Here is a 17806-nt window from a genome sequence, read left to right on the forward strand (position 1 = left end):
GCCACTATTTGAGTTCATGGATGAATATTTTCACCAAGAATTCAGCTCAGGATATACAGAGCATCTCATGGACTTACTTTCTCATTTAGGACCAGAAAATAACTTTCTTGCTGAAGGAGCCATAAATAGAAGTGAGTGTTAGACATCCTCTCAGATCCCAATTCACAATCCTCTATGACATTTGAGGACATATAAAAGTGACATGTATCTTTCATAGTAGTGGCAGGCTATACAATGAGTGAACCATTTTCAGAAGATCATGTGAACCTCTGAAGTTCATACTGAGTCAAGATTCAATTTATATTTTTCAAAACCTCCCATGGCTCTTTTTATTGACACGGTTAAAAAGACATTGTTGTCATTGGGAGGTATTTCTTTTTTCAGGCTCATTATATTGCCTCCAGTGATTGCACTGGGAACTAGGTGCTTGATTCTTATTGACGTTTGCTGGGATTATCATAAATATGACCTATAAAATAGAGTAACTATAAATGGAGTCAAAACAATAAGGTGTACATATTATTTTGGACAAAGTCAGATGGAAATTGTAAGGCAGTTACTGAAACACAATATTTATCATTTTTACTATTTAGAATTTATCCCATTTATATCATTTTAAGATAAACTTGCAAATAAGAATATATTTTCTGATTATATATAGATTATTTCTAGCTTGTTCTGAAAAAACTGACGTAGTTGTTTGTTTTTAGCCAAAAACAGTTTTAGAACATTCTTGTCAATCAAAAACTAGTATTTTTCATATATAAACTAAACCATATTTTTTGGTTGTGGAGCATCCTTGTGGAAATGAACCACATGCATTTTTTCCTGCAATTTTCTAAGCTTATGCAAATTGTATCTTACGGTAATGAAAATTTTGCCGATGAAATCTTTGAGAACATCATGACTGTTGTTTTTGTTTCAATAATGTGTCATACCTGAAGTTATTTGGCACACATTTCCTATTGACTTTGAAAGTCATTCCCTGCATGTTGATAGTGAAAGATTAGAATTCAAATGGGGAGACCTGAGGTCTGAGCTTACCTCTGCAACTAACCAGTTATATGATCTTCACTAAATATTTTCAACCCTCTGGATGACATAGTTCAGAGAATGGACCACATAACTCCGAACTCAGACTACTTCCCTTTAAATCATTTTCTTCCCTTTAGTGAAAAATAAAATATAATGAAAGGTATATAAAGGTTAGTATTCTTGCAAAATTCTACATGGATTTATTAAACCATGGTTTGAGGATATAAAAAAAAAGCAGTGATGACCAGAGTATATTGTAGATTCCCTAAGAACTAATCTCATCACATTCATTTAATGTTTGGTAGGACTACTAAAAAATAAATTAAGGACTAGTCTGCGCCATAACTTGATATTAGTGAGGCATTTTACAAAGGGTCTCATGTTACATAGGAAGGACTGTTCTCAAACCCAGGAAGAAGGATTGTTTTGGATTATTGTCCACAGTTTATCAAACACATAATCTTTCCAAATAATGATGCATGCAGGCCTGAATTTTGGCAGCTTCTTGATTTTGTTGTGGAAGTACTTTCTCTTGTTTAAAAAATAATTTTCAATCTGAATATCTTTATTTTCAAGGTAAATATACTCCATTGTCTTCACAAGGTATTTGTAAGATCATTAGATCATTATAATCTTTTCTTTCTTCACATTCTTGCAGAGAGATTTTAAAGCCAAACTCACAGCAATGAGTGAATCATTTTCAAAAGTTGGTAATCTCTTATTATGTTTCAAAGCAATATGTAATATGTTACTAACACATACAGACATAATAACCGTCTTTCATTCCGCAATTCTGATTGTGTGTTGAATTTTTTCTAGTTCTCTACACCACAATCAATTATCATGCTTGAAATAATAACCTCAACGACATTACAACTTGGTATATTATTACCAATGGAAAAAAACATACTCAGATTATATCAACTAATAGTAGTCATTGAATGAGATTGGATATAGGAAATTTTCTAGCAAGTCATACAGTAGGAATTCAGTAAATATTCTACTTAAGTCTAACTGCCAACACCTTCTCTAATCATGCTGCAGTAAATTCTGTTTTGTTTTGTCCCTTTTTAACATTTTTTAAAATTAGTTAAATCCATGGAATGAATACTAACTAAATTCACAGATAATACACAATCATGAAAGAATAGTAAACATACTGAAATTTAGAATCAAATTTTTAAAATCAAGTTTGTTTAATGCTTGTGTGGAAAGAACCAGATGCGTAGGCAGGACTGTCATCTAAGATTTTGTAGGTTCTCCTTGCAAACTCACCTTGGGAGGATATTTGCCAATATACTCTGTGCTTTCTTTTACGGGGGTGTCCATAAATATATAGTATTTATTTGCTTGTCACATTTACAAGATCATTTACAAGATTACCATCTGAAATGGTGGGCAGAAATCATGAACACATTTAACAGAGGATTTAAAATACTAAACTAATATTTTAAAAATTTAGTTATGTAACTGTAGAATGGGCAAACATTTTTTAAACAAAACTAGGTATTAAAGGACTTTAAGGATTGTTTTGTTAATATTTAATGAAGGTATGAGACAATGGAATAGTAATACAGGAATTCAGGGATAGGAAGAAAAGGTAACAATAAAATTGAAATTGCAACTTGGATTCAATCTGAGAGGCAATTCTATTGCCTGAATGGGGACAAGGCTGGTCAGATGTAAATAAGAGAACTAGCATTTGTGACTAGGGACTATGTTTCAGATCTTACGTTAGTTATTTTGCATATAGTATTTCATGTAAGTCTCACAACAGCCTAGATTCCAGCCTTCCCAGCTTACATTAGCCAGAGTAGCTCTACTGTCCCCAGTTTAATAGGACAATAATCTGAAGCATTGCAAGTTAGGTTGGGATTCGAAGGAAGGAACATACCAGAAACACCTCTCATAATTTCTTAAGAATTTTCTTGAACACAAGAAAGATACCTAAACACAGCAGAAGCAGCTACAGCATATCTTTCTGTGTCTCCACATTCCAGTAAGGGGAAGGCATGAGAGAGACACTCTCCATTTGGGGAGCATGGTACTAGCATTGAGGATGAAGCCAAATGCTTGCTAGGTCACTGCTCCTTTATTATTATGCAAGTTTATATTGCCAATTTGAGAGGATTTATGTTAATAATCTCTATACATTCTTTCAAGAGAAACTTTTAAATATCTAGTGTTTATTTATTTATTAATTTACTGAGCAAATTCAGCATTCACAAGGCTATATTCTTATTCATGGGAAGGCAGAGTTGATTTTCTCATTCAGAACATTTTCTCTGCTCCAAATTTTTCATATTCTAACAAGCTCTTTCATCCCATAGGTGTCATATAAGATTTATTTGAAAAGAATCGAGCACTGTTAAAAATAAGTCAGTTTTGAATAACATTGTTTTGGACCTGTCAGCTTAGGCTGCCACGACAAAATAATATAAACCGTGTGGCTTAAGCAATGGGAATTTATTTCTCTGCTCTGGAGCAAGAAAGTTCCAAGTCAAGGTGCTGGCCAGTTTGGTTCTGAGTGAGCATCTGCTTCCTGGCTTACAGAGGAAAGTCTTCTTGCTGTATTCTCACATGGTGGTGGGGTGGGGTGTGTGTGTGGGAGAGATAGAGAGAGAGAGAGAGAGATCTGATCTCTCTTCTTCAAGAACACTCATCCCATCATGGAAGGAGGGGGCCGTATCACATGACTTCATCTAAACCTAATTACTTCCCAAAGATCCCACTTCCAAATGCTATCACTTTGGGGTTAGGGCTTCAACATATGAATTTTGGCAGGACACAAACATTTAGTCCACAATAAGGCCTATCTATAAAATGGGTAAGTTCCTGGTTTTTCCAAATTGTAGACACAATCTTCTAAATAACCTAGAAAGGTTTTTTTTTTTTTTATGTTTGAGTTTCTAAAAAAAAAAAAAAATTTCCCATAAGGCACAGTAAGGTTTTTGTTTTAGTTGATGAAAGACAGTCCTAACCATTGTCACCTTTATGTTTTCATCTTGAAAAATTGATTAAAAAAGACTTTATTTCCATGGACAGAAGTTGTATGTCAGCTAAGTCATATTCTTTGATTATAAACATCAAACTTTTCACCTGTACCATACTGAGATTCAGAGAATGCTGAAATGGAAAATTTGCAATTTAAATGGCATAGAATAGAACTATCTCAACTCTCCTTTTTTTTTTCCTACTCCAAAACATACAGAAAGCATGTTTTGAAGTCCAAAGAGAAACTTCAGTAAACAACTCGCCTATTCTCCAATTACCAGTGAGCTTTTAGTGCCATTTCTACCAGGGTCAATTTCATTGTTTTTTTTTTTTTTTTTTTGTACCATGCTATCCAGATGAAAACATTAAGCAATTTACAAAACCATTGACTATCTGGAGGTCTGTATAATCTGTAATTTAATTTATCCAGTTGGCTTTTTGGGGTGCAGTCTTGCTCATACTAACCAGGAGCCCATGTCGACTTTTACGTTGATAATTTCCGTGATCACAATCCTTCAGCTCAAGGCCATTATTTCTCTGCTTTCCAGTATACATCTCTGGGACTGACTTGATTTGCTTTAAGAATTAAACAGATGCAAAGCTATTTCCTGAGAAGAATACTGGTATAGCCTGTAGATACTCATTTATACTACCACCAATTAAAGGAAACCAAGGCTCTTTCATTTTCTCAACAGTTTCATCTTTGCCATTTGCATGTAAGAGTGTTGCTGGCACAGCTTGTATGTTTTTATTCAATTCAGGTAAAAAGAAACTCCCTCTGAGCAGATAAATTATAAAAACCCTCTTCTTCTGGGTTGACTAGCCTATTGCACATCTTGGAAACTGGAGAACTGGCTAGATTTCTGCCCTCACTAATCCTCAACCAGCTCTCTTCAGGGCTGAACCTACAAAATCATATGTGGAATCCTTGCTTACTTGCCTGGTCCTTTCCCCAAACAGTATTAAACAACTTTCTTTTCAGCTCTGAATTATCTGAGAGTTCCCATAAATAACCAGTAGACCCAACTGCTACATGAAAAAAAAAAAAAGTCATCTAGGGTATGTTTATTTTAGAAGATTCTCCACTATTCATTTCTACTACATTATAGAATAGCCTTTATAGACCCAGATGTAACACTGGACCCTGGGTGTTTAATGAAGATTGCTATGACACACAACAATAAAATTTCTTAATTTCTTGAAATCTGTTGAAGACAGGTGTTGTTTATGAAGAGGGGGAAATTTTCTTAAACACTCATAAAGATTTTTCAGGTCTCAGAACCAAGAAATATCTGTCTTTTCTGAGGTATTGATATATTTTTCATAAAAGGAAGTTTTCAGTAGTAAGTAGGAAGTAATTGTAAAATTGAAATTCTAGATGTAATTTCCAGTTTTTTGCTTGTTTGATATAGTTTTCCTCAGAGTTTGTATAGCTCTAAATCTAAATGTATACTTGCATATATCTATATAATACATATGTACTTTTTTCTCCCTCTTTATATTTTCTTCTACTTACATGATATTTGATTTTATTGTATCTGTGTTCTTTTTGCAAATTGCTTCAAATGATCATTACTAATACAACTAATTAAACTTGCACTGATGTGATGAAAAAATATATGCATTAGGTTTCAGAAGATCTGGGTTCAAATAATTCACCCTGTCATTAGTTATTTTTGTGACTCTGGGCAACTCTTTGGTAGTTCTGGTGGTTCACTTTCTCATGCAAAACAAAGGGTTTGATTACATATAGTTGCATTTCCTATGGTCTCTTTTTATTCTTAACTATGGATTTTAATATATCATTACATTTCAATCCATTAAATACTTTGAAAAAGCAATATGAACCATATCTGATAGATTATTGACAATTTGAAATTATTTAGCATCTCTTGAAATAACATGCTTTAATGTAGATACTTCTGAAAAATCATTTTGGAACTCATGCTACTTGGAACCTCATAATGTTTAGAAAATATTTCAAATTTGGAGAGGGGGAGGACGTAAGGTGTTGGGTTAAGGTTTAGATTTAATAGCACAAAGTATAGGTTCTTGTTAGAAATTAAGCATATTACCATCTTCAGGGTTTTTAATTTTTTGTGGGTACATAGTAGGTGTGTATATTTATGGGGTACATTAGATGTTTTGATACAGTCATGCAATGCATAATAATCCCATCATGGAAAATGGGGTATCCATCTCCTAAAGCATTTATCCTTTGTTTTACAAATAATCCAATTATACTCTTTTAGTTCTTTTAAATGTGCAATTTTAAATTATTTTGACTGTTGTCACCCTGTTGTGCTGTCAAATACTAGGTCTTATTCATTTTTCTAATTATTTTTTGTACCAATTAACCATCCACACCTACCCACTACTCTTCCCCAACTACCCTTTTCAGCCTCTGGTAACCATCCTTCTACACTCTGTCTCCATGATGAACTCATCATGTTTTGATTTTTAGTTACTACAAATTAGAACATGTGAATTTGTTTTTCTATGCCTGGCTTATTTCATTTAGCAAAATGACTTCCAGCTCCATCCATGTTGTAGAAAATACAGGATGTCATTATTTTTTGTGATTAAATAGTACTCCGTTGTGTATAAGTACCACCTTTTCTTTATCCATTCATCTATTGACGGATTCTTAGGTTGCTTCCAAGTCTTGGCTATTGTGAACAGTGATGCAACAAATATAGGAGTGCAGATATCTCTTTGATACGCTGATTTCCTATCTCTTGGTGTATACCTAGAGTGGGATTGCTGGATCACATGGTAGCTCTATTTTTAGTTTGTTGAGGAACCTCCAAACTGTTCTCCATGGTGGTCATACTAATTTACATTCCCACCAACAGTGTACCAGTGTTGCCTTATCTCCACATCCTTTCCAGCAATTGTTATTGCTTGCCTTTGGATAAAACCATTTCAACTAGAGAGATTATATTCCACTGTAATTTTGATTTGCATTTCTCTGATGATCAGTGATGTTGAACACCTTTTCATTTGCCTGTTTGGCACTGATATGGCTTCTTTTGAGAAATATCTATTTAAATATTTTGCCCATTTTAATTGGATTATTATTATTTTTCCTGTAGAGTTGTTTGAGCTCGTTTTATGTTCTGGTTGTCAATTATTTGTCAGATGGGTAGTTTGCAAATATTTTCTCCCCTTCTATGTGTTGTCTCCTCACTTTATTGATTGTTTCTTTTGCAGTGCAGTGATTGTTTCTTTTTAAGTTGATGTGATCCCGTTTGTTTCTTTTTTCTTTGGTTGTCTATGCTTGTGGGATATTACTCAAGAAATTTTTGCCCAAGCCAATGTCCAGGAGAGTTCCCCGAATATTTTTTTGAGTAGTTTTATAGTTTGAAGTCTTAGATTTGTCTTTAATCCATTTTGATTGGATTTTTGTATGTGATGAGAGGTAAGGGTCTAGTTTCATTCATTCAGCATATAGATATCCAGTTTTCTCAGTACCACTTATTGAAGATTTATTGAAGATACTGTCTTACCTAGTGTATATCCTTGGTACCTTTGTTGAAAATGAGTTCACTCTGGATGTGTGGATTTGTTTCTGGGGTCTCTATTCTGTTTCTTTGCTATATGTGCCTGTTTTTATGTTAGTACCATACTGTTTGGTCACTATAACTCTGTGGTATAATCAGAAATAAGGTAATGTTTTTGGTAATTGTTTTTGATCAGAGTAGCTTTGGCTGTTCTGGGTCTTTTGTAGTTCCATATAAATTTTAGAATTATTATTATTATTCTGTATCTTTGAAGAATGTCATTAGTATTCTGATAGGAATTGGCGTTGAATCTGTAGATTACTTCGGGTAGTATGAACATTTTAACATTGTTGATTCTTCCAATGCATGGAGCATGGAATATCTTTCTAGTTTTTTGTGTCCTGTTCAATTTCTTTCATCAGTATTTTATAGTTTTCCTTGTAGAGATATTTCACTTCTTGGGTGAAATTTAACTTTATGTATGGCTATTGTAAAATAGATAATTTTTTATTTATTTTTCAGATGTTTGGTATTGGCATATAGAAATGCTGATTTTTGTATGTTGATTTTGTATCTTGTAACTTTACTGAATTTGTTGATCAGTTCTAATATTTTTCTTGTGGAGTCTTTAGGTTTTTCTAAATATAAAATCATATAATCTACAAACATGGATAATTTGGTATCTTTCATTCCAATTTGGATGCCCTTTATTTCTTTCTCTTGTCCGATTTTTTTAGCTAGGACTTCTATTGCTATGTTGAATAATGGTGGTGAATGTGTGCATCTTTGTCATGCTCCAGATCTTAGAGGAAAGGCTTTCAGTTTTTTCTTTGTTCTGTGTGATACTAGCTGTGGGTCTCCCATATGTGGCTTTTATTATGTTGAGATATATTACCTCTATACCCAGTTTCTTAAGGGTTTTTATCATGAAGGAATGTTAAATTTTATAAAATGTTTTTTTCAGCATCAATTGAAATGATCTTTTTTTTTGTACTTCATTCTGTTGATATGATGTATCACACTGATTGATTTGCACACGTTGAACCATCTTTGTGTCCCTGGAGTAAGTCACACTTGGTCATGATAATTGATGTTTTTAATGTATTGTTGAATTTGGTTTGCTAGTATTTTGTTGAGGATTTTCACATCAATATTCATCAGATATATTGGCCAGTAGTTTTACATTTGTTGTGTCTTTTTCTGGTTTTGGTATCAGGGTGATACCGACTTCATAGAATGAGATTGTAAGTATTCTCTTTTATATTTTTCAGAATAGTTCAAGTAGGACTGGTAACATTTCTTCTTTAAATGTTTGGCAGAATTCAGCAATGAAGCTACTGGGTCCCACACTTTACTGGGAGACTTTTTATTATGGCTTTGATCTCATTACTTGTTATTGGTCTGTTCAGGTTATGGATTTCTTACTGGTTCAATCTTGGTAGGTTGTATGTGTCTAGGAATTTATCCATTTTCTCTAGATTTTCCAGTTTATTGGCATATAGTTGTACATAGTAGCCACTAATGATCCTTTGATTTTCTGAAGTATCAGTTGCAATGTCTCCTTTTTTATTTTTGATTCTGTTTGTGTCTTCTCTCTTCATTCTTGATTAGTCTGGCTAAAGGTTTGTAAATTTTATCTTTTCAAGAAACAAATTTTTTGCTTTGTTGATTTTTTTGTTTTCTTTGTTTTAATTTTATTTATTTATACTCTGATCTTCATTATTCCTTTTTCTCTACTAATTTTGAGTTGAGTTTGCTCTTTCATTTTTAGTTCTTTAAGAGGCATCATTAGGTTGTTTATTTGAAGTTTTTCTTCTTTTTTGATGTAGACCTTATAGCTATAAATTTTTCTCTTAGGAATGCTTTCACTGTATCCCATAGGTTTCGGAATGTTATGTTTCCATTATCATTTGTTTCAATAAAGTTTTCAATTTTCTTCTTAATTTCTTTATTTACTCACTGGTCATTCATGAGTGTATTGTTTAATTTCTATGTCTTTGTTTTGTTGCCAACATTAATCTTTTTAATGATTTCCAGTCTCATTTCATTGTGGTCAGAGAAGATTCTCAATAGTATTTCAATTTTTTGAATATTTTAAGAACTTGTTTTGTTCCCTAACATACAGTCTGTTCTTGAGAATGACCCATATGCTGAAGAAAAGAATGTGTATTCTGTAGCCTTTGGATAAAATGTTATGTAAATGTCTATGATATGGTTTGGCTCTGTGTCCCCACCCAGATTTCATCTTGACTTGTACTCCCATAATTCCCAGGTGTTGTAGGAGGGACCCAGTGGGAGATAATTGAATCATGGGGTGGTTTCTCCCATACTATTCTCATGATATTGAATAAGTCTCATGAGATCTGATGCTTTGATAAGGAGAAACCTGTTTCTCTTTGCCCTCATTCTTTCTCTTGCCACTGTCATGTAAGAAGTGCCTTTCGCCTTGCACTATGATTGTGAGGCCTCCCTAGCCAAGTGGAACTGTAAGCCTATTAAACCTCTTTTTCTTCCTAGCCTCAGATCTGTCTTTATCAGCATCGTGAGAACAGACTAATATAATATAATAGGTTTATTGTTTTTCTCTAGAGTGCAGATTAAGTCTGATGTTTCTTTGATGAGTTTCTGTCTGGGAGATCTGTTCAATCCTGAATATGGGATATTGAAGTCTCCATGTATTATTGTATCGAAGTCTATCTCTCTCTTTGGCTCTAATCATAGTTGTTTTATATATCTGTGTGTTCCAGTGTTGGGTGGATATATATTTATAATTATTGTATTCTGTTGCTGGATCAATCCCTTTATCATTATATAATGGCCTCCTTTGTCTTTTTAAATATTTTTTTCTTGAAATCTATTTTTTCTGATATAAGTATAACCACTCCTGGCCTTTTTTGGTTTCCATTGTCATGGAACATTTTTTATCATCCCTTTATTTTCAGTCCATGTGTATTTTTATAGGAGAAGTGTATATCTTGTAGGCAACAGATTACTGTGACTTTTTTTATATACATACAGTCACTCTGTTTTTTTATTGGAGAGTTTAGTCCATTTACATTCAATGTTATTATTGATGAGTAGGACTTTCTCCTGACATTTTGTTATTTATGTTCTGATTGTTTTGTAGTCTTCTCTTCCTTCTTTTCTTCCTTCCTGACTTCCCTTTAATTAAAGTGATTTTCTCTGGTGGTATGTTTTAATTTCTAACTTTGTGTGTGTGTGTATCCATTGCATGTTTTTTGATCTGAGGTTACTGTGAGTCTTGCAAATACTGTCTTATAACTCATTATTTTAAACTCATGGCAACTTTTCACTGATGGCATAAACAGACAAAAACATGGAATTAAAACTAATAAAAACTCTACACCTTAACTCTGTTCATCTGCTTTTTAACTTTGTTTTTTTATGTCTTATTGTATTGTCTATGTCTTAAAAAGTTTTTATAGTTATTATTTTTTACTGGTTCATTAGTCTTTCTATTTAAGAGTAGGTTGTATATTCTAATTACAGTGTTATAATATTCTGTGTTTTTCTGAATGCTTACTATTACCAATGAGTTTTGTAACTTCAAATGATTTTCTATTGCTATTAACATCCCTTTCTTTTAGATTGAAGAATTCCCTTTATCATTTCTTATAGGACAGGTGTATTGTTGATGAAATCTCTCACCTTTTGTTTGTCTGGGAAGGTCTTTATTTCTTCTTCATGCTTGAGGGATATTTTTGCCAGCTATATTATTCTATGGTAAAGTTTTCTTTTCTTATGCTGAGTCAGATCTGAAGCCAGAAGAGCACTGGGTCTCACCAAGGCCTGCTGTAACCACTATCTGCTACTACTTATGTTCACTCAAGGCCCTAAGGATCTACAATCAGCAAGTGGCAATGCCAGTGACATTTGTGGACTTCCCTTCAAGATGGCCAGATCCCCCAGGTCCTAGTAGGGTCTAGAGATGCTCTCTGGGAGTCAGGGATCAAAAACCTTAGAAATTAGCCTGATGTTCTGGTTTTACTAAAGCTAAGCTGGCATCAAACCACAATACAAAGATCCTTCCTGCTCTTCCCTTCCCTTTTTAAAGGCAGAGGAGCTTCTCCCTGTGGCCACCACCACCAACAGCCCATGAAGGGTTCTTCCAGGCCACAGGCTAATGTTCATTTAAAGCCTAAGGGATCTTCATTCAGCTTGTGGTGAATGCTGCCATGTTTAAGACTCACCATGGGCCAGTGTGACCTCTGCCCTGGACAGGTCCAGAAATGCTGTCCAAGACTCTAGGCTTGGAGTTGGAGATCCAAATGCCTGCCTATTGCTCTACCCCACTGTGGCTGAGCTGCTATCTATCTGATATTTATCTGTCTATCTGGTGTAAGACAATGTCCCCTTTACTTTTCCTTCTGCTTTCTCAAACAGAGGAACTATTTCACCATAGCCACCATAGCTGGGAATGTGCTGGTTCAACCCTGAAGTTGGCATATCTCAGAGCCCAAAGCACATGGCATACTAAACGGGTATTACTCCTGGTTATTCAAGGTTTAAGGGCTCTTTAGTCAGCCAGTGATGAATCCTGCCGGGACTGTCGTCTTCTCTTCAGGGCAGTGAGTCCCTTTTGGCCCAGGGTGTGTCTGGAAATCTCATCCAGGAGCTAGGGCATGGAATAGGAGCCCTACGACTCTGTTTAGTGCCCTGTCCTACTGTGGCTGAGCTGCTATCCAAGATGGAAGACAAAGTCCTCTTTACTCTTTGCTCTCCTCTTAAGCAGAAGGAATGAGTCACTTTTGTTGCTGTGAGCTGCAACGCCTTCGGTTGGGGGAGGGGTGGTACAGGCATTCCCAAAACTGCTCCTGGCTGGTGTCTCCTTAAGTCATATGCCACCCTAGTCCCCTGCCTCTGAGCCCAGCCCAACACTAGACTTTGCCTAAGAAATCCAGTCTTTGTGTCCTAGACTGCCTTTCAAGTTTACCTAGCACCCCAGAACACTCTGGCCTGTAGTGGCGAGGCTTCCCGTGAAACTCCGACCTTCCGACCTCTGGGATGAGCATGTCCCCTCTAGCTAGGTCTGGTCTAAATGCTCCCTACATGCAAGGGCGCTGGCTGAGGCAAGCATGTCTTTGCTCTCCGCTATAACAAGGCAGCACTGAGTTCAATGGAAAGTTCCCCAGTCACTGTGCTCTCTCTTCCCCAAGTACACAGACTTTCCACACTGCACAGCCACTATTGGGGGGTGGAAAGGTGGTGTCAGTGATTCAAGCCCTCCTCAGTGCTTCTTTCAGTGACATGAAGTTAAAACCAGGTACTGGCTGGGCATGGTGGCTCACGCCTGTAATCCCAGCCCTCTGGGAGGCTGAGTTGGGCGGATCACGAGGTCAGGAGATCAAGACCATCCTGGCTAAAATGGTGAAACCCCATCTCTACTAAAAATACAAAAAATCAGCCAGGTGTGGTGGCGGGCGCCTGTAGTCCCAGCTACTCGGGAGGCTGAGGCAGGAGAATGGCTTGAACTGGGGAGGTGGACCTTGCAGTTAGCCGAGATCGCGCCACTGCACTCCAGCCTGGGTGACAGAGCAAGACTCTGTTTCCAGAAAAAAAAAAAAAAAAAAAAATAGAGGTACTGTGATTCCTCACCTCATTTTTGGTTCTTGTGATGGTGCTTTTCTGTGTACATATAGTTGCTAAAATTTTGTGTTCTTGCAGTGCAGACACATGGTATAGGATTCTATTCCACCGTCTTGCTCTGCCCTCCTTCTCAGGGCTTTTTTTTAACCTAAGATTACTTAAGCACTTTCATGTTTTGGGGAGGAGTAGTCTGATGATCCACTTATATGCATGTGTTTGATACTTGTGCTAAAATCCTAGCTGAACTTTTCAATTTCTTTATGTGTGATATATTATCAGTTAACTGCATAAAAAAGAATTAAAAAACATTAAGGCCAGGAATAACCTAGATATAGAAAGTGGTAAGTTGGTGTAGTTACACATGTCATTGAGATGAGATGAAATTTTTAGTCTCTACGTCTGTAGAAACTAGCCCATTCAGATTAATCTGATTAACCTTGCCTAAATGTGCAGAAGACATTCAGCACTAGAATTTTCAAAAAGAACTGGTTCTGCCATGTTTGATTGAATTTCTAATTCATCAAAAGGTGACCTGGAAAAATCATACATAATTGAAATAAATCCTGAATTTAACTCCTATCTCTAACACTGGTTGCAAGATCTCTAGCAAATCTCTACTCTCACATAAAACATAAAAATAAATAATACATGCTACTAAAAGACTTATAGGATGTAAGAAGAGATTTTCCTGTGAAATAGCTTTGTTAATTCTAAAGTGCATTATAAGCCTTAGTAATTATCTTCTTCAAAATGAATACCACTGAAATATCATTCTATTTTATTGTTTTGAGTATTGGACTTACTATAATTGCAATTAACTTTACATTTGCATCATGCATTCTTTCTGTCACAGTATTTGACACCTGAATTTATTTCAAATAATTTTTCCCCTGAATTTTGATAGTTTGATTTAGCTTAGTGTCACACAGATCACAACATATTCTGTGTTAAATATATAACTATGGCATGGTTGATGCTATGGTTTGAATGTTCTTTCCAAAACTTATGTTGAAATTTAATTGCCATTGCAGCAATATTAAGTTAGAGACAGGACCTTCACAAGGTCATTAGGCCTTGAGGGCTCCTTTCTCATGAATAGATTAATGCTGTTATTTCCATAGTGAGTTCCTGATAAAAAGGAGCCCAGCCCCATTTTTTCTGTCTGTTCAGTGTGCTGTCACTCTCTCTCACCCTTGTCTCTGTGTGATCCCTTCCTCAAGGCCCTCACCAGATGTGGACTCTGAATCTTGGACTTCCTTGCCTCCAGAACTGTGAGCCAAATACATCTCTTTCCTTTATGAAGAACCCAGTCTGTGGTTTTCTGTTACAGCAGCAGAAAATAAACTAAGACAGTTGACCAGGTTGTGTGACTCTTCCTGCCCATTCTAGTGAATGTTACCAAACTAATAGCATGACTGCCATATACTTTTGAATCTTGTTGAGCTTTATGTATATTATTTTGGTGTTTGTGTTTACCAAAAGTCTAGAATTTATTGGTCCCACAACTCTTTAGTACTATGTTGTTTGCTGAGGTGCTATTGGCTGATGGAAGTATTTTAGATCACTGATTTCAGAATATCAATTTATCCATGTATAAAAAAATAAAAGGGAGAAACGGAAACACTTCTTGTTTTAAAAGTGATTAATTTTTGAATAGCTGTACACACTATAAAATTTAAATGTTGTGAAAGGGCATGTACTTTACAGTAAGATTCTTTTCTCTCAATGTCCATGCTTGTCACTCTTTCAATGACTGTTAATGATTTCTTAAATAGCTTTCCATAAATGTTATTGAAGCTATTCTCTATGAATTCAGTCAGGAAAGAACTCTTTCCTTAACTTAGCCAGCATTATTCTGTTTTTAGATTTCACTCTGGTCTTTGATATATTACTTTTAAATTGATATAAATGTGGTTTTCTTATATGTCTCATGAAATTCTGTTAATTTTTTTTTTCCTGTTCCTAAGGCATACCCAGTTCCTGCACAGTTTCAAACTAACAGTTTTTCAGCAGTTTGTCTTGGGCCCTTCATGTTTATCAAATCATTTTGTGCTATGCTTTCATACTTATCATACCTTATAAATTGGTGTAGAGGAATAAATCCATTGTCCTATGTCTACCATCTCACATATGCCATTTAAGCCTATAATAACATTCTTTTATTCATCCAGTGACCAGTTTTGGCCCATAACTGGAAAATGCATGCCCAGTCTATGCCACTGGGTTTTGGCCTACTTTCTCTTTTCTGCAGCACAATCTGCTTGCCTAGGGTCCTGACAACCTGCCTACCTCTGATAGGACTTCTTATCTGAGAGACTGGACGTTGGCTTGGCTCTTAAGTTCACCCTCCTGCCACTGTGCTTTACCTATCACATTTGACCTCTTTAATCAGAATATTCATATGAAATAGTCAGAGTACACAGAGGGTGGTAGGATATTATCATTATTACAACTTCCTGTCTTCTGAGGGTCAGCCCTGTGCAGCACATTGATATGGTTTGGCTCTGTGTCCCCACTCAAATCTCACACTGAATTGTGATCTTCAGTGTTGGAGGAAGGGCCTGCTGGGAGGTGACTGGATCATGGGGGCGGATTTCCCACTTGCTCTTCTCATGATAGTGAGTGACTGGTAATCAGATCTGGTTGTTTAAAAGTGTAGTACTTCCCCCTTCACTCTCTGTCTCCTGCTACCATGCGAAGATGTGCTTGCTTCCCCTTTGCCCTTCTGCCATAAGTGTAAGTTTCTTCAGGCCTCCCCAGCCATGCCTCCTGTACAGCCTGTGGAACTGTGAGTCAATTAAACTTCTTTTATTTATAAATTACCCAGTCTCTGTTAGTTCTTTATAGCAGTGTGAGAACAGACTAATACATACATGATTTATCACTTTGGATCAGGCCCTCTCTTACCCAGGTCCACTCCACTTTCCACCCATCCCACTCAGGCCTAACATGTCTATTGGATATAGCTGCAGTTTCAAGATTCATTTCTATATGATATGACTGCATTGCTTGGATTGTTAACACATTTAACACATTAGTAGTACCTTCTGGACAAATGATTACAAGATTTATGTGATGATATAATTATTTCTTTGCATATTAATCATCATTTTAGAGGTTTGGAGAACCCGGAAAAACGGACACAGATGTGACCAGGCAGTGAGCAGTAATACCAGTGATTGCAAAGGCAGATACATGACCCTAGTAAGCTGGCTTTGGAAAATTAAAGGACTCCAGTCCCACTCAGGGACATTGTGGATCGATAGAGCTGGGATAGGGCCCGAAGTACCTGTACTGTTAAAAACTCCTGAGGTAATAAGTCTGTGCAGCTAGTGGGGAATTATTACCCCATGGAGCAAGAGATGAACTTAATGTCATTGTTTATGATCAGGGATATGAGATATTTATGGGAAAGATCTTTCCTGAAAGAAAACAAAATAAAGTTGTCTGGGAAAAAAATGACTTTTTAATGTTCTATATAAAAGCAAAAATAAAAGCCCATCTCCTTTCCCTCAATCTCACCACTTTCTCTACCACCTAATCAAGGGAACCCATTCTAAATAGAAAATACTGTTTAATATTTGTTGATTTGTTGTCTATATTATATACCATAGCAGATATGCTATAGTATTTTAAAATTTTGTAGTGAACAGGGTAATACAAATGTGAGAATTACACATTCTTTGGTAATTATAACTTATACATCAACACAAATTTTTTTTAAGTGATTCAGATGCTTTTCTGGAGAACAGGATTTAGACATTAATTGTCTAAATCACTACATTAACTTTTCAGAACCATCTGAGTAGAATTTTTGTGAAATGAATTTAGCTAAATTTAGAAAAAACAGTAAAATATTTTTGGAATGCTGTCATCACTGGTTCCTGACAAACAAACACAATAGCATCACCAGCCATCTCTCAAAGCTTTGAGTATAGGTCCTCTTTTTTATGCCCCAACTTCTAAATCTTTTATTTCTCTAATGTGACCCTAGGGTCACATTAGATCAATAGATTCCACTCATAGTTTGATACTCACATTCTATACATGCCTCTAATCAGTATCCTGTTTTTAGGAGTTATTTATTTTTCTTTTTGTTTATAAATGCTTGTAAACATTTTGTCAGATGTGCCAAGTTTTTCTGCTGTATACTCATGACAGACTTTTAACCAATTGTTTACTGTATCGTCTGTAAGTATTAAGCCATGTTTTAAAAATGTGTGCTTTCATAAGCTTGTGAATTTTATTCTTGTAAAAACTTATAAAACTGATATACAAATAGAGAATACAGTTTGATGCTCTGGAGAGAGGTCCTTGATATGCAAAGGTTAAGGCATGTGCATTGCTTTAGTTTTTGCAGTGATGGGGTCTCAGGGTTTTCCCCTCAAAACAGAATCTGTATACTTGAAATGGAGAAACCGGAGTGAGAATTTGGCTACCACATGTAATACGCACAGATGCAGTGTGTTTATTTAATAAAGATTTACTGTCTTGGAAGAGATAATGAAATAAAACTCATGGTCCCTGAACTCAAAAACTTACAGGTTGGATGAAGGGACAAACACATGAGAAGATGTCCATTAAACAGAAGACTCTTTTAAGAGATGATAAGAACAAAACATCACCCCACAAAGAAGCAGCAGAAAAATGCCACGGTGTCCTGTCAT

At 35.7% G+C, this 17806-nt stretch overlaps 1 protein-coding gene across 7 annotated transcripts in view; it reads left to right on the plus strand.

Moving 5' to 3' along the window:
- Positions 1 to 17806, plus strand: part of PRR16 (proline rich 16) — a 330317-nt gene that overhangs the window by 87606 nt on the left and 224905 nt on the right.

This window comes from Homo sapiens, chromosome 5 (genome assembly GCF_000001405.40).
Source record: "Homo sapiens chromosome 5, GRCh38.p14 Primary Assembly".
Taxonomy (NCBI): Eukaryota; Metazoa; Chordata; class Mammalia; order Primates; family Hominidae; genus Homo; species Homo sapiens.